This window comes from Homo sapiens, chromosome 7 (genome assembly GCF_000001405.40).
Source record: "Homo sapiens chromosome 7, GRCh38.p14 Primary Assembly".
NCBI classification, from domain to species: Eukaryota; Metazoa; Chordata; class Mammalia; order Primates; family Hominidae; genus Homo; species Homo sapiens.
The window spans coordinates 141,734,737-141,752,223 of NC_000007.14; the positions used below are offsets into that span (position 1 = coordinate 141,734,737).

Below are 17,487 nucleotides of genomic sequence, written 5' to 3' on the forward strand. Positions count from 1 at the left end.
TTGGCATAAATAAAATATTTAAACTTAAAACAATGTTGTGAATTTTAATACACCTGTAGTGTAACAGGTCCCCCCCACCCGGGTTACTAAAGAGTGTATGTCCACTGCCTGAATCCTGAAGGCCATGTGGCAAGGCCAAGGTGACCAGCCAAAGAGCAGCTGTTTGAGAAGCCAAACATCCCAGAGAATATCTGAGAACCTACCAAAGAAAACAGCTCCATCACACACAGTAGGCTAAAAGCCAGAAAATTAGCTTACAAGTAGCTTAGGGATGGGAGGCCAGGCGGATCTCTACAGCTGTCATGCTGCCATCCAGGAGTGCCTTGTATGTAAGTCCTGATAAACTCCTCTACTCGCCAAGCTGGACTTGTCTGGGTCAATCTTTGGTTTCTCGGCTTCCTCTCAGTTTGGGGGAAGGTTTTTATTAATGCAATTCTGGGTTTTTCTTGTTACAATATCTACTTTAAAAATTTTCAATACTTCTTCAACTACTTTAATGTTCTGGAAATATATGTGTATATATATTGATATATAACACATATACATATATATTGATATATATACACATATATACATACATATATTTTGTGTGATGATATATATATACCGTCTCAAAAATATATATGTGTATATATATTGAGATATATATACACACATATTTCATTCATACATATTGATATATATACACATATATATATACACACATATATATATTTTTTGAGACAGGGTCTCTCACTCTGTTGCACAGGCTGGAGTGCAGTGGTGTGATCATGGCTCACTGAAGCCTCAACTTCCCAGGCTCAAGCGATCCTCCCACTTCAGTAGCTGGGATTATAAGCACATACCACTATGCCTGGCTAATTTTTTTTTTTTTTTTTTGAGACGGAGTCTCGCACTGTTGCCCAGGCTGGAGTGCAGGGGCACGATCTCAGCTCACTGCAAGCTCCGTCTCCCGGGCTCTCGACATTCTCCTGCCTCAGCCTCCCTAGTAGTTGGGACTACAGGCACCCACTACCACGCCCAGCTAATTTTTTGTATTTTTAGGTAGAGACGGGGTTTCACCGTGTTAGCCGGGATGGTCTCGATCTCCTGACCTCGTGATCGGCCCGCCTTGGCCTCCCAAAGTGCTGGGATTATGGGCGTGAGCCACGGCGCCCGGCTGCCTGGCTAATTTTTGTATTTTTTACAGAGACAGGGTTTTGCCATGTTGCTCAAGCTGATCTTGAACTCCTGGGCTCAAGTGATCCACCCCCTCAACCTCCCAAAGTGCTGGGATTACAAACATGAGCTACTGGACCTGGCCAAAATTTTTTTAATTAAACATTTTTTTTTGTTTTTGTCTTTATTTTTAATTTTTGTGGGTTCAAAGGAAGTGTATATATTTATGGAGTACATGAGATATTTTGATACAGGTATGCAACGTCAAATAAGCACATCATGGGGGATGGGGTATCATCTTAATTTATCCTTTGAGTTACACACAATCCAATAACACTCTTATTTTAAAATGTACAGTTAAGTAATTATTGACTATAGTCAACCTATTGTGCCATCGAAAATAGTAGGTCTTATTCGTTCTATTTTTTTGTACCCATTAACCATCCCCACCTTCCCTCCAGCCCCCCACTAACCTTCCTAGCCCCAATTTTTAAAAATACATAAGTACACATATACACAGGGGTGCATATTCTTCCTTGTGCCTCAGGCTCCAGTCTGGCTTGGATCCTGTATTCAGTTAAAATTTTAATACAGTCATGCACTTCATAATGATGTTTTGGAAAAAGACTGCATATACAACAGTGCATATACAAAGGTGGTCCCATAAGATTACAATGGAGTTGAAAAATTCCTATCGTCTAGTGACATCATACCTGCTAAAACATCAGAATGCAATGTATTACTCATGTGTTACTTGATATTAATAATGACTATGTCACTGGTTTATGTATTTACTATACTTTTTATTATATTATTATTTAACTTATTTTTTAAAAGTTAACTGTAAAACAGCCTCAGGCAGGTCCTTCAGGAGGGATTCCAGAAGAAGACACTGTTATAGGAGATGACAGCTCCCTGTGTGTCACTGCTTCTGAAAACCTTCCAGTGGGACAAGATGTGGAAGTGGAAGGCTGAGATTGATCATAATGACCCTGTGTAGGCCTAGGCTAATGTGTGTGTTTATGTCTTAGTTTTTTTAAAAAATGGCTAAAAAGTTAAAAAAAAAAAGAAAAAAAGCAAAGGTAGAAAAAAGCTTGTAGAATAAGGATATAAGAAAAATATTTTTGTACAGTGGTACAGTGTGTGTTTTAAGCTAATTGTTATTACAAAACAGTTAAAACGTAAAAAAATTTGGAAGATTTATAAAGTTATAGTGAGTGAAAGTTTATTAAAGGAAGAAAAGTATTTTTTATAAACTGAGTGTAGCCTAAGTGTACAGTGTTTATGAAGTGTTTAGTGGGTACAATAATGTCCTAGACCTTCATGTTGGGCCACCACTCACTCATTTACTCACCCACAGCAACTTCCAGTTCCGCAAGCTCCATTCATGGTAAGCGCCCCATACAGGTGTGCCATTTTTATCTTTTATACCGCATTTGTACTGTACCTTTTCCATGTTTACATATGTTTAGACACACAGATACTTACCATGAATTACAATGGTCTGCGGTATTCAGTACAGCCCCATGCTGTCAGGTTTGCAGCCTGGAAGCAGCAGGCCACACCACAGAGCCGAGGTGTGTCCAGGCTCCACCATCTAGGTCGTCAAAGTACATTCTGTGGTGTTCGTACAGCAACAAAATCGCCTAATGACGCAATCCTCAGACCTTACCCTGTTGTTAAGGTACACATGACTCTTATTTTGTTCCTCCCGGATTTCCTGCATTAATTTTTACTTTTTAAAATATTACATTAATATATTATTTGATTGCCAGTTTTTCTGGTGCTCCCTTAAATTGCACAGCCTGCCAGCCCTTCCCTGGCTCCCCTTTCTTTTTCTGCTTTTCTTAGTGCTTCAACAGACCTGGGACGTTCTTTTTCTTTCTTTTTTTTTTTAATTTTCTTCTTTTTTTCTTTTTCTTGTTTTGTTTTGTTTTGTTTTGAGATAGAGTTCGCTCTGTTGCCCAGGCTGGAATGCAGTGGTGCGTTCACGGCTCAATGCAGCAACGACCTCCAGGGCTCAGGCGATCCCCCGACCTCAGCCTCCGGAGAAGCTTGGACCACAGGCGCGCGCCACCACGCCCAGCTAATTATATATTTTTTGTAGAGACAGGTCTCACTATGTCGCCTAGGCTGGTCACAAATGTTGCTTTTTTTTCCCTCCAGGCAGAGCTAGTCTCTGTTTTGCCTACCTCGCCCCCTCCTGGGCCCAGTTAGAAACCTCATCACATAATTTCATTTCTTTCCAAACTTGAAACCTTCTAAACTTGAAACCTTCTAAACTTGAAACCTTCCAAACTCACCACTTGGCGGCGTTGATCCATCCGCCCGCGCACAAAGAGAAGATCGCGGAACTTCAGAGTTAAGGGGAGCCGTTTCCCGCAGCGCTAGCCGGCAGTATTTCCAAGGCGCAAGTTGCGGAGTTTCTGTTTCCTTTTTCCTCTGGCGAGCTTTGCGTTCCCTGTGCGCCGGAAGTGATCCCCTGCGTGGCTGGGCTGCTCGGGTTAGATCGTCAGGTGAGGGAGGAAGGGATAGCCAGCGCGAAGGAAGTGCTGGAGTCGTGTGTTTTGGCTGCGCGTGATCCTGCGTGGGTCGGGAGGTGTTTCTGTGTAGGTGTCTGGCCCTTTCATCAGTCGTGCGGAGGACCGCGTGATTTCCTTCCAGTTCTCCTCGGTTTTCAGGTGGTGGCGCCATCTTCGGTAAAGGGTGTCCACCTCTCCCTATGGTGTGGCTGGCTAGCCCGGGGGTCTCTACGCTGCTTGGTCTTTGTTAACGGAGATGAAGGCAGTAATTTTTCAGTAACAGGTTTCAGATATAAGTCCCTTGGTGATGCTAATATTTATGGAGGCCTTACTATGCATTAAGAACTTTTTTAGAAGTTTAGAAAATGGCAGTGAATAAAGCAGATACAAATCTCTGCTCTAAGGGAGCTTGCATAGTAATGAAATTTGAGAAGACAGTGGATTGGAAGTGGGATTAACTCAGAATCAAAATTTTGTCGATGGGTTGGAGGAAGAGGAAGTTATTTGGGACCAAAAAGACATACAGGTGTGAGTTTATTTGGGAGGGAGGAAGGAATCCTCATCAGATGTGCAGGAATGTTGGTACGTTGTGGTCACAAAATTGGAGTGCATAAAAATTATGAATATAGTTAGGAATTTAGGACTGGTGAGTTGTACTTTTGCCATAAGAGGTAATGTTTTTTTCTTATTTTGTTTTTTTCCTTCAGGAAAAGCCTAAAGATTAGACTGTAAGAAAAGAAAATAGAAGCCATGTTTCGAAGACCTGTATTACAGGTAGTCACTTGTCTGTATTAATACTGAGATGTATTACTATCAGCCACAGTGATCAGAAGACTTCTTTAGGCTTTTAACTACAGGGGCAAAAGACCTTTGAGCTCACCCACCCACCTCTATACTCATTTGATATGGAGGATTGGGGACGATTTTGCCAGTGTAAATTATGTTCACTAAAACAAAAAAAAAGTTCAGGTTTATTCACACGTAATAGGAATCATTAATTTTTAAAATGTGTGTGTGTTGCTTGAATTTAACCAGTGAGAGGACATTAAAGGTCTTTAGTGACCTAAAGACTGTAGGAATCATTGTTCCAACTTTTTTCTTAAGGCATGTAGTTGCTTTTTTGACCATCTACCTCCTGTGTTGCTAAACGTTCCTCTTCCCCCATCTTTCCACACTGAAGAGAGCATCTCAAGTCTCAGTGGTCACCAGAGATTTCACTATGTAGAAAATGCCTTCTCATTCCACTTAGTATGGGTCCTCACTTTTCCAGACACTAGCCCACCTTGAGCCAGCTTAGACTACCATTTTTCCTCACTTACCACATTCGGGCACCAGCTCCTGTAGATTCTTCTTTGGCTCTCCTACTCCCCATCCTCCTGTGAAGACCAATGAAGAACCAGTTCCTCCATGACTCTGTCATTTTCCCCACCTTAATCCTATATTCTTGGATCCCCACTTTAACCTGTATGTATCTTTAATCTATTTTTTTCTGTATTGAAATGTGAAACATGAAAAAGTTATTGCTTCTTAACACTAACGTTACAGTATTAAAATGTCTTTAAATAAGAGTTAAAAGTTTAATTTAAAAAATTATCCAAGTTAAATAATCCTTTCCTAATCTTCTCCAGTAGATTTTTGTGTGCCCCAAATGAGACATTGTTATTATAAATCTCTGTGTAAGATTTATGAGGTCTAGCTTGTCTGAGCACTCAAATGACATTTCCAGAATCATGACACAGGTTCTCATTAGCAGTTTGATTCTATAGTATGTTGTACTCATATCTTTATTTTCTTATCTGCCCTCTGCTCCTAAGTTTAGTGATAGGATTAGATAGCCAACAGCACCCTGGGGATTGGTGTTTATTTGATTGGTGGACTTCTGCTTTTTATATTAACAGTACTGCCACTTCAAAAATGTTTCTCTGATAGAATGGCTAGCTCTCTGAGCTCTGAATTCAGTGATGTGTACTCCCATCTTTACAGGAGCTCTTGAAATTAAGGAGGCAGCAGAGGGCTTCGGGAAAGCAGTAGCATTGGTGTCAAGGGCCCTGGGTCCTTGAGATCACTTGCCACATACTTCCTGCAGGAGCTTGGGCAGGTGATGCAGTCTCTCTGAGGTGTTTTCTCAGCCCTAAATGGGAATAATTTTACATAACTTGTAGATTTAGTTTTAGAATTGATAATAGATAAATCCCTTAGCTGATATTCAGTAATGATTGCTGCTATTATGTGGTAGTGACTACCTTTGCTGACAGTGATGTGACTTTGACTTGGACAGTCGAGTCTTTGTGTTTAATCAAAGAACCAAATTTATTAGACCTTTTTTGATGCACTAAAAACAGGAAATTTCCTATGAAATATTTATAAAAACTGTATTAGGCTAAGCTCACTACTGAAGCTGTTTAATTTTTGCAATAGCCTTGTGAAGTAGGTATTATGTATCATAATTTTTGCTTATTTTAAAATGAAACACTTTAGATTAGTCATATTAGGTATCCTAATTCCTTTTAAGGTCTGAAGGAGCAACCAGGGGAAGGCAGTTTCATAGACACAGGGAATCTGACTTTGGAATATGTTCCTGTTGCTGTGTCAGAAAGTCATTCATGTGATTAGTTTTAGAATGTATTGTTTTGTTGGAATGTAACCTATCTCTCGTTCTCTAAACCAGCAGACCCCAACCTTTTTGGCACTGATAACTGGTTTCATGGAAGACAATTTTTCCATGGAGGAGGGGGGTGCCGTGGGGATGGTTTCAAGATGAAACTGTTCCACCTCAGATCATCAGGCATTAGTTAGATTCTCATAAGGAGTGCACACCCTAGATCCCTCGCATGAGCGGTTTATAATGGGGTTCTGCTCCTGTGAGAATCTAATGCCACTGCTGATCTGACAGGAGGCGGATCTTGGTCAGTAATGCTTGCTCGCTGCTTGCTGCTCACCTCCTGCTGTGCAGCCAGGTTCCTAACAGGCCACAGAACTCTACTAGTCCTCAGCCCTGGAGGTTGGGGACTCTCCTCTAACTGGCTGTTCGTTATGCCTGAGAGTAAGGCTTTGCATTTATTCCACACCTCCTGACACTTGTTTGATCATTGCATATGTTATTAATGAATCTACTTATTAAATTATTAATTATAAAGCATCTCTTTTAACTCTCCTTTGGTCTAATGATGGATTAAATCAGTACCCATGTTGGATCTAAATTTCTTAATTTCTAAAGTCTACTGTAACCAAAATACAGTAGTAATATACCAGTTGTTTATACTAAAAAAAAAAATTAGAGGATGTATATATTGAATATATGTAGTACTTTTTGTCTCTTTTTGTCTTTCCAGCTAATGAAAGCTGGATTTTGAAAATACTTGGCAGCAACTCTTAGGTACAGGTTGGATTTACAAATATTATCATACTCTGTAATGTTAAAGTGATACTATTTTGATTTTTCCTTTTGTGTGCAAACACAGAAGTGCCATAATCAAGGAGATGTCGCAAAATAAATGGGAGTACTATAACTTAACTTTGAGCATGCCTTCTAGTACCTTCCTTCTACCTTTGGGCTTCTGCATTAGGCTGCTCTTGAAGTGTTTGCCGGGGCCTTCTGGCACTCTGTTGGGAGAACATGAGAAGAGCTTCTCTTCTCTTCTGGAATTTTCAGGAACTACTGACTATATGGTGAATGAACGTGAGTAATTCTTCTGTTTGCATTTGCCTTTCCTAAAAAATTAAAGCCATGTTATTCATTTGTTCTTCTTTAGGTACTTCGTCAGTTTGTAAGACATGAGTCCGAAACAACTACCAGTTTGGTTCTTGAAAGATGTAAGTAGCTAATTTCCAAGTTTAAAATGTTATTTTTAGTAATTTGCCAATCTCAAATGTGTTGTAGAAGAGGTATGCTGCTTGGGTTAACCATGTTGCCATTGTGCTTTTAGCTCATGTTTGCTCTTCAGATCTTAGCCTTGACACATCAGGCTGTGGAGACATAGTATAAACTGAGCCCCTGTTCTCCTTATCAGCCAGTTACTACTCATTCTTGTCAACACTGTCCTGCATAAGAATTTCCTTGAGTCATATTTGGTTATCTGAGTCTTCCCGGGTTATGTTGTATTAGGCTGAGATTGTAAAAGATATTGTTTCTTCACAGAAATATTCCCTTGTGTTTATAAAGATTTTCAGATCTCAGATTTGTTCTTTTAGCTCCACAGTCAGTTAAAAAAGATATCTTAAAGAATTTAAGATCTAGAGCTTACAGTTTGTTTTGTGGGGCTGCTTTCTCTATGACTATTTTCTTCTTTCTTGCCAACTCTCTTCTCTCGCAACCTCTCCTTATTCATTCCTTAACTTATTTTCTGATCTTCCAGAACTTGGGTTTTACTTAATGCAGAGATTGAAGTTGAAGTCATATTTATAGCATTTCTTCTGGACATTTCTCTCAGTCTTGAGTGTGGATTTCTTTTTTTTTGAGACTGAGTCTTGCTCTGTCGCCCAGGCTGGAGTGCAGTGGCGCGGTCTCCGCTCACTGCAAACTCTGCCTCCCGGGTTCATGCCATTCTCCTGCCTCAGCCTTCCAAGTAGCTGGGACTACAGGCGCCCGCCACCACGCCCAGCTAATTTTTTGTATTTTAGTAGAGATGGGGTTTCACCGTGTTAGCCAGCATGGTCTCTCTCTCCTGACCTTGTGATCCGCCCGCCTTGGCCTCCCAAAGTGCTGGGATTACAGGCGTGAGCCACCGCGCCCAGCCAGGTGTGGATTTCTTTAATGGTCAGCTTAGAGGCTGCTATAAAAAAATACCATAGACCAGGTGGCTTCACCAACAGCATTTATTTCTCACAGTTCTAGAGGCTAAAAATCCAAGATTCGTGTGCCAGTATGATTGAGCTCTTGGCGAGGGCTGTCTTCCTGGCTTGCAGATGGTTGCCTTCTCACCGTGTCTTCATATGGTAGAGACAGAAAGTTCTGAACTCTTCCTGTTCCTATAGGGACACCTCACCCTCATGACGTCATCTAAGCCTAATTACCTTTTAAGGATCCCACTTCCAAATACCATTACATTGAGGGTTAGAGCTTCAACATACAAATTTTGGGGGAAGGGGCACAACTATTCAGTCTATAGCAGGTTGTCTCATTTGGTCTTGATGTTGTGTTTCAGCCCTGAATCGTGTGCACTTACTTGGGCGAGTGGGTCAGGACCCTGTCTTGAGACAGGTGGAAGGAAAAAATCCAGTCACAATATTTTCTCTAGCAACTAATGAGATGTGGCGATCAGGGGATAGTGAAGTTTACCAACTGGGTGAGTACAAAAGACTGGGGTTTTAATTTTATCAGCAATAAATAGATATTATTTATTGCCAGTTATCTAATTTAGAGATAAACCACTTTAAACAAGATCTGTCTTTCATTCTGTTTGTTCTCTTAGAAATCGTGACATTGGTTTTCCTGGGCATGTTGTCTGTTGGCATTTGTAACCAATTTCCTATTTTTATGATTTAGGTGATGTCAGTCAAAAGACAACATGGCACAGAATATCAGTATTCCGGCCAGGCCTCAGAGACGTGGCATATCAATATGTGAAAAAGGGGTAAGTTGAAGAGGGAAGGATCTTATGAATTGAATGATTTAAAGAACCGATAAGAAGTGTTCTCATGGCAAGGAGTGTGTAGTCTCTTAAATCCCTGAGTACTACTAATGACTGTATTAATTTAAGAGGTATTTACTAAGTCCTTGATACTATATGCATGGCATGTTGCCATGTGTGACTAATTTGAAGATATATAAAACATAGTTTTAGCTTTCTAAGAACTTACAGTTTAGGGCAAACAGGGTGTGTACATAAATAGAAATAGATGAGGCAGGAGAGAAGGCAAAGTGTATCAAGTGGCATTTGAGCAAGTCAAACATCTGCTTTGAGGAATTCCTGTGCCTCTGTGGCCGGGGATGCTGAGGGTGGCTTCTTGCCTGTTGGCTGCCACATGGTATTTCCAGCAGAGGATCTGGAATGTCTGAAGCCTGACATGCCAACTTCATCTTCGTGGCAGTTATTTTATATTTGATGATTTTCTGTAGGCTTAATAGTTCCCTTTTGGAAGGCTTGGATTGAGTATGTATAAAAAGTATGTTTTCCAAACTCATAGAAGGACAAAACGGTGTGTGTAACAGCAGTTGTATTGATAGTTAATATGTTTAGAAATGTACTTGTTTTGTAGAAAGAAAACATATTTTATGAAAAATAATTTAGCAATCACTAAAATTTTTCTTTTCAATAACTGTATAGCTTTTCTTCCTATGTATCTTCATTGCCCTTTATGTATGTTTATGAATATGTGCACATACACACACAAACACATATAAGGTATTTCAAGGGAAGTGTCTGCACTCCCACTTACTGATTGATGGGTGTGTGTGTGGGGTGGGGAGCACCTGATGTTTCACTAATCTTTCTGTGTTGTACTTTTTTGGTGGTGGTAGACTCTCAAAACTGGTACTATTGTCATCTTTCCACTCTTGAAAATCACGATTAGGTTTGTTATCTAGTTTAGCCTCTAGATAGTGTAGAAATAGTCTTAGTAATTACCTCTAAGTGGTATACTAAGCTGATACAGTGTAGAAATAGTCTTAGTAATTAACTCAGGGTAATATTATACTAAACTAACTACAAATCCATATTTTGAATTTTAATCATCTAAGTTTCTAAGGTCATAGAAAATAATTGATAAATAAGTGAAAATCAAGTCTGTTAGGGACTCCAAAATCAAAGGTCAAGGAAAATGATACATTGGAAATTATTCCTAGAGATTTAAATGTTGCCACTAAATTTCCCTTTGAACTGTTTTGTTTTATTTTTTAACTTCCGTAAGAGAAATAGCTGACAGATGAAAACATTGTCTGTTTTACCTAGATGTTACCAAGTCTGTTTGGACACTCTGTTTCAGTACTCCTAATCCTGAACCTTGAGAAGTGGTAGCAAAAATTAGCTTATATATGATTATATATTTCATCCTTGTCATATACTCAGTACCACCCTGACCTGACTCTTATAAAGCATATTAAGATCTCAACTAAAAACTGTACATTTTATTTATATCAGGTCTCGAATTTATTTGGAAGGGAAAATAGACTATGGTGAATACATGGATAAAAATAATGTGAGGCGACAAGCAACAACAATCATAGCTGGTAAGAAGCTTGTGAAAATAGCTGTTTTTTTCTTTTTCTCCTTTTCTTTTTTAAAAGCTTGGCTACACTGTAACTAACTAGGGTTAAGAGTACCAGTACTTATGAGTTAAGGCAACTCACTAGAAGATGTCCATAACTCTTATTTCTCTACTTGCTAAGAGTTTGTACATTTATCCCTTCCTTTAAAAAATTATTTTTATACTTACAGTTTTAGTCACAAGTAACTTTTGAATAAAGCCTAAAACTGAATTATCCATCCCAGTACTTATTGTTGAGAATTACAAAAACTCTGAATGTATTGTCTTTTGGAAGGATCTAGCCCTAACCAGGAAGAAGCGTATGCCAAGATAAGAATTACACTAATGTGAGTGTGCAGATTTATTCGGAACCTCTTTGGTACTTAGTATGTGAAATTTCTATTTGAAATTAAGATTTTTTTAATTTTATTTTTTTTGAGCCAGAATCTCACTCTGTCACCCAGGCTGGAGTGCAATGGCACAATCTCGGCTCATTGCAACCTCTGTCTCCTGGATTCAAGTGATTCTCCTGCCTCAGCCTCCTGAGTAGCTAGGATTATAGGTGCGTGCCACACCACCTGGCTAATTTTTGTAATTTTCGTAGAGGCGGGGTTTCACCATGTTGGTCAGGCTGGTCTTGAACTCCTGACCTCAGGTGATCCATCCACCTCGGCCTCCCAAAGTTGTGAGATTACAGGCATGAGCCACTGTGCCCAGCCAAGAAGTTTTTAATTTTCTCTTTTTTTGTTTTTGTTTTGAGACAGGGTCTCCCTCTGTCAACCAGGCTGGAGTGCAATGGTGTGATCACAGCTTACTGCAGCCTCTACCTCCCCAGGCTCAGGTGATCTTCCCACCTCAGCCTTCTCCCAAGTAGCTGGGACAACAGGTGTACACCATCATGCCTGGCTAATTTGTCAATTTTTTTGTAGAGATGAGGTTTCACCATGTTGCCCAGGCTGGTCTCAAACTGCTGGGCTCAAATGATCCTCCCACCTTAGCCTCCCCAAATACTGGAATTACAGGCATGAGCCATTATGCCCGGCCTAATATTCTCTTTAAACAAAATACAGTACAACATAGAAAAGATGTACACGTAAAGGTTAAAGAAGATTAAGAAGATATCCCTTAGGAAAGAGTTTTTAAACTTTTGAAAATGCTATAAGAATTTTGAAAATAATATACCCCTCTGGATGTCTGCAAGCGACATTAAGAAATTTTTTTCAATACAAAATTGTGTTATTTTTAAATGTATCAATGGAATCTAAATAGCATAGCAATGTGATACCTACTATCCTGTAAAAAAATACCAGTTCAGCATTTGGAAATTTTCCATTATTCTTTTTTCTTTGAACTTGTTTTACTGTTTTTATTTTCCCCTCAGAAGTGTATCTTAATAGTATATGGTATAGTTAAGAACTTTTTATTACCCTGTTTGTAACAAAAATGCATGCATAAAAGAAACTTTAAAATATTTAAAAGAATTCTATGACAAATTCTTCTCAATTGACTTATCATTAAAGTTGTTTTTAGTACCTAATTGATCAAAACAATTTTAATGTATTTAAATTATATTGGAAATATGTCTTTAAATGAGATAGATGGTGCTTTTTTCACTTCTTGAGTAAATTGCTAAAATTAGACATTGTGAATTTTGTGCTTTTGTTTGCTTTTATGGACATAAATACTAAGAAAGCTTTTTAAAATAAATACATGGCAATAAACTAAATTTTACTATATTAATGTTTCTGTGTTTATGAACTTCTGAGATATGCCCAAATTAGATTTTTTTTTTTTTTTTTTTTTTTTGAGACAGCGTCTCACTCTGTTGCCCCGGCTAGAGTACAGTGACACGATCCTGGCTCACTGCAACCTTCGCCTCCCGGGTTCAAGCGATTCTCCTGCCTCAGCCTCCTGAGTAGCTGGGACTACAGGCACGCGCCACCACGCCCAGCTAATTTTTGTATTTGTAGTAGAGATGGGGTTTCACCATATTGGCCAGGCTGGTCTCGAACTCCTGACCTCGTGATCTGCCCACTTCAGCCTCCCAAAGTGCTGGGATTACAGGCGTGAGCCACCGTGCCCGGCTAGATAATATTTTTTAAAAATTGATTTTTGGGCTGGATGCAGTGGCTCACGCCTGTAATCCCAGGCCTTTGGGAGGCTGAGGTGGGTGGATCATTTGAAGTCAAGAGTTCAAGACCAGCCTGGGAACATGGTGAAACCCTGTCTCTACACAAAATGCAAAAAGTAGCCGGGTCTAGTAATGCGTGTCTGTAGTCCCAGCTACTCAGGAGGCTGAGTCATGAGAATTGCTTGAACCCAGGAGGCAGTGTTTGTAGCGAATTGAGATCACACCACTGCACTCCAGCCTGGGCAATAGAGGAAGACTCTCTCAAAAAAAAAAAAAAAAAAAAAATTTTTTTTTTTTTACTATGGAAAATGTCAAACATGTATAAGAGCAGAAAAAATGGTAAAATGAACTCCTACCATTTCGCTTCAGTGTCAGCTGATGGACAGTGTTATATCCATGCCTCCAGCGACTTGACCTACACCTGGATTATTTTGAAACAGATTCTAGACATAAGTTTATTCATAAATTTCCATAGGGATCTCTAAAAGATAAGGTGTCTTTTTGAAAATGTAACTACCGTGCTATTATCACACCTAATATTAATAAATTACTGTTAATTTTTTTACTAAATATCGTAGTGTTCAAATTTCCTTGATAACTTCATAAACATTCATACATTATATTACATGATTTCTACCTTAAGTCTCTTAGATTTGCCTTTTATCTTTCTTCTTTCCTTTGCTCCAGAGTTCATGTCTTAACCACCATACCTTATTAATAATTTATAATTTGTATAGAATGCTCACATGGTTTCTTACTGCTAAGTTTCTTTGAAAGTGTATTAACCTTGAAAAGCAGTGTAGGTATTTTCCTACCCTCCTGTGGGTCCCAATATAAACCACAAGTGTGGGCAAACTTTAGATTGTTCGGATTATTGAGTTGTTACTAATAAGCCAAACGGAAGCATTTCAGATGATATGCTGTTTTGTTTTTTTTCCTTGTCACTAGGTTCCACTAGCACAGTCAGTTTACTTTAGGTTTATGTCTAATGGTAAAATTGAAGAGCTCTTCAGTGACATTTGAATTGAAGAAAATAGAGTTTATTGGTTGATCTGTTTTATTGGTGATTTTTTTTTCTCCTAGGGATCCTATCTGTAACTAAAAAACCACCACCAGTGGATGGCACTCTTGGCTTTTTCCACAGTGATATTAATTCGAGTAGTTTGTTCTGAAGTAACCGTTCTGGACCAAAACATTCTAGTTTTTGGAAGACTATGGTCATGAACAAATATTCAGTCCTTGGTGGATAATTTTATAGTTACAAGAATCTTTTGGAATTATAAAGGAAATGCAGTCATTCCTCCATGTCCCTTGTTTCTGCATCTGTGGATTCAACCAAGCACAGATTGAATATATGTGAAAAAAAGAAACCAATAAAAATAATACAACAACAACAAAAATACAAGTGAAACAATACAGTGTAACAGCTGTTAACATAGCATTTACCTTGTATTAGATATTGTAAGTAATCTAAAGATGATTTAAAGTATATAAGAGGAAGTACATAGGTTATATGTGATTACTATACCATTTTATATCAGGGACTTGAGCATTGTGGATTTTGGTATCTATAGGGGTCCTGGAACCAGTCCCCCAATGGATACTGAAGGATGACTACTACTTGCCTCTGTTCTTTTGTTTATTTTTAGCTAACTCCCTCTGGAACAGCATTTTAAGAGCAACGTCTGATATTTTTGGATAAAAATGCTAACTCTGTGATGTTGATTCATAAAATGTTCCCAAGAATTGGTATATTAAAATTATTCTGGGCCAGGTGCGGTGCTCATGCCTGTAATCCCAGCACTTTGGGAGGCCAAGGCGGGCAGATCACTTGAGGTCAGGAGTTCAAGACCAGCCTGGCCAACATGGTGAAACCCTGTCTCTATTAAAAATACAAAAGTTAGCCAGGCATGGTGGTGCACACCTATAATCCCAGCTACTGGAGAGGCTGAGGCAGGAGAATCGCTTGAACCCAGGAGGCAGAGGTTGCAGTAAGCTGAGATTGCACCACTTCACTCCAGCCTGGGTGACAGAGACTCCATCTCCAAAGGAAAAACAAAAAGTTATTCTGTATTGTAATTTAAAAATAAAATTTCTTCTATTTGAATTTTTAAAGTTAAAAACGTAAGTAAATCCTGTCATTGCTAACAGGGCCACATATGGACTCTTACTCTTTCCTCTAGACCCCCAGAGTGTAGAATGTGATACACTTTTGTCCTTTTCTCTGAGGATGTGCTGCCTAGTGTCGTGGAATCTGCCTGACCATTGCAAGCATCCAATTTTGTGACCAGTTCTTTTGCAGGAAATTGTTTCTGAGAAGACTGGAAGACAAGAAATATCCCACCTCTTCTAACAAGATCTGAATTGTTCGAAAAGCAGCCAGTGCCTAACTTGTAGCTCCACTTATGCCAACTGTATATATACCTCTCGTGAGCATAGCAAGTGATTTAATATTTTGAAAAGATGGCTAAAATCCTTTTAATGAACAGCACTAAAGTTATATGTATTAGAGGAGAATTATTGAATGAGATGGAGAAAGAGTTCTGAAATTAATATTTACATTTTGGCTTTTTTACAGATAATATTATATTTCTGAGTGACCAGACGAAAGAGAAGGAGTAGAAAGGATGATTCTTCTTTGGCCATCATTTGGTACAGTCTCATTTCCAAGTCATGTATAATCTTTATGGCTTCCAAGGACAAGAATTAAAATACTCTTTTACGTAAAATGAGTAATAATCTTTTTTCTGACTGTCGTTCTCGCTCTCCTTTTTGTGGTATAATCTTGGTAGCTACTATCTGTTATGGCATTTACTAGTTGTTTATTCTTCTAAGGGTGGTTTCTATGTACAGGTATACAAAATAGTAAACTTTCAGGCTCATTTGTGTTATGGCAAAGGGATAAATATGCTTTGGGAAGGTCTCCTGGTTTTTGTATACACTTTTATTACAATATTGATTTGTCCAATCAGTGAATTTACTGAGCATCACTGTATGTGAGACATTTATCCCATATTTGTAAATATTGATTTTCTTAACGTTTTGCTCTGTAGACATGAAGGCAAGGACTGAATCTTCTGTTTGCCTGCACTTTAAACCATGCTTTACATAGAATAGCCACTCAGTAAGCATTGATAGATGAATCATCCCAATGGGATTCTAAGCTTCAGCTCAAATTGAAGGGAGTTGCTGAGCAGTGGTTAGTGTCTAACCTAAACATCTTTAAGACTAACCTACCTTCTTCATATCTTTTGTTTTTGGACAGTTTCATTAGTAGCATTGATGAAACATAGTTTACCAGCAATAAGGACCTGAATAATTAGAGATGAAATCGTTCATCTCCAGGTGATGCCACAGGAGCTGTAGTTCTGTTCTTTCTCTGCCCCTGTTATCTGTGGGGAAAAGAAAGAGAGATCAGACTGTTACAGTGTCTATGTAGAAAGAAGTAGACATGAGAGACTCCATTTTGTTCTGTACTAAGAAAAATTCTTTTGCCTTGAGATGCTGTTAATCTGTAACCCTACCCCCAACCCTGTGCTCGTAGAAACAAGTGCTGTGTGCTGTGTCGACTCAAGGTTTAATGGATTTAGGGCTATGTAGGATGTGCTTTGTTAAACAAATGCTTGAAGGCAGAATGCTTGTTAAAAGTCATCACCACTCCTTAATCTCAAGTACCAAGAGACACAAAACACTGCAGAAGGCCGCAGGGACCTCTCCCTAGGAAAGCCAGGTATTGTCCAAGGTTTCTCCCCATGTGATAGTCTGAAATATGGCCTCGTGGGAAGGGAAAGACCTGACCATCCCCCAGCCCGCCACCTGTAAAGGGTCTGTGCTGAGGAGGATTAGTAAAAGAAGAAGGCCTCTTTGCAGTTGAGATAAGAGGAAGGCATCTGTCTCCTGCTCGTCCCTGGGCAATGGAATGTCTCAGTGTAAAACCTGATTGTATATTCCATCTACTGAGATAGGAGAAAACCGCCTTAGGGCTGGAGGTGAGACATGCTGGCGGCAATACTGCTCTTTAAGGCATTGAGGTGTTTACATATGTGCACATCAAAAGCACAGCACCTTTTTCTTTACCTTGTTTATGATGCAGAGACATTTGTTCACATGTTTTGCTGCTGACCCTCTCTCCACTATTACCCTGTTGTCCTGCCACATCCCCCTCTCCGAGATGGTAGAGGTAATGATCAATAAATACTGAGGGAACTCGGAGACCAGTGCTGGCACGGGTCCTCCGTATGCTGAGCGCTGGTCCCCTGGGCCCACTTTTCTTTCTCTGTACTTTGTCTCTGTGTCTCTTTGTTTTCTCAAGTCTCTCGTTCCACCTGACGAGAAACAGCCACAGGTGTGGAGGGGCAGGCCACCCCTTCATCTGGCGCCCAACCTGGGGCTAAGGGATCTATTCTATTTATTTGCGCTGACTGAATTTTTTCTTCCACTAATTTAATTTCTTTTGTTGCCTCTGGGGTTAATATTCTTTTAAGTCTGGTT

At 39.3% G+C, this 17,487-nt stretch overlaps 1 protein-coding gene and 1 long non-coding RNA gene across 13 annotated transcripts in view, besides 2 other annotated features; one reads left to right on the forward strand and one right to left on the reverse strand.

The window, feature by feature from the left end:
- WEE2-AS1 (WEE2 antisense RNA 1) overlaps positions 1–3,494 on the reverse strand; it is a 34,228-nt gene extending 30,734 nt beyond the window's left edge. For 2 of the 3 annotated variants that reach the window (NR_199841.1, NR_199840.1), the window contains exon 1: positions 2,647–3,306. This is a non-coding gene — a long non-coding RNA (WEE2 antisense RNA 1). Of the gene's footprint in view, positions 1–2,646; positions 3,307–3,461 lie in introns of those variants that run through there. The other variant, NR_015392.1, reaches the window with a different exon arrangement.
- Positions 2,639–3,524: an enhancer, noted in NCBI's record as "H3K27ac hESC enhancer chr7:141437175-141438060 (GRCh37/hg19 assembly coordinates)". NCBI's record gives its function as "activates a minimal SCP1, AML or CMV promoter by ChIP-STARR-seq in naive and primed H9 embryonic stem cells {active_cell/tissue: H9 hESC(naive and primed)}" and the evidence as "EXISTENCE:reporter gene assay evidence [ECO:0000049][PMID:30033119]".
- On the forward strand, positions 3,585–15,752 carry SSBP1 (single stranded DNA binding protein 1). 10 transcript variants are annotated; one of them, NR_046269.1, is made up of 8 exons: positions 3,585–3,674; positions 4,388–4,454; positions 7,013–7,062; positions 7,433–7,493; positions 8,825–8,965; positions 9,166–9,253; positions 10,760–10,848; positions 15,575–15,752. NR_046269.1 is itself a non-coding variant. In NM_001256511.1 (7 exons), the coding sequence occupies exons 2-7, from the start codon at positions 4,431–4,433 to the stop codon at positions 15,616–15,618; spliced, it is 447 nt and encodes a 148-aa protein (NP_001243440.1). In that variant the 5' UTR covers positions 3,585–3,857; positions 4,388–4,430; the 3' UTR covers positions 15,619–15,752. The 10 variants fall into 10 exon arrangements, 9 of the variants coding, with proteins under 9 accessions (NP_001243440.1, NP_001243441.1, NP_001243442.1 ...); NM_001256511.1 differs by lacking the exon at positions 7,013–7,062 and having other exon boundaries at positions 3,585–3,857; NM_001256512.1 differs by lacking the exon at positions 7,013–7,062 and having other exon boundaries at positions 3,585–3,839.
- Positions 12,674–12,816: a silencer, noted in NCBI's record as "fragment chr7:141447210-141447352 (GRCh37/hg19 assembly coordinates)". NCBI's record gives its function as "represses an EF-1alpha promoter that drives an FKBP-Casp9 reporter gene in an ReSE screen in K562 erythroleukemia cells {active_cell/tissue: K562}" and the evidence as "EXISTENCE:reporter gene assay evidence [ECO:0000049][PMID:32094911]".
- Positions 15,753–17,487: the final 1,735 nt, after the last annotated feature.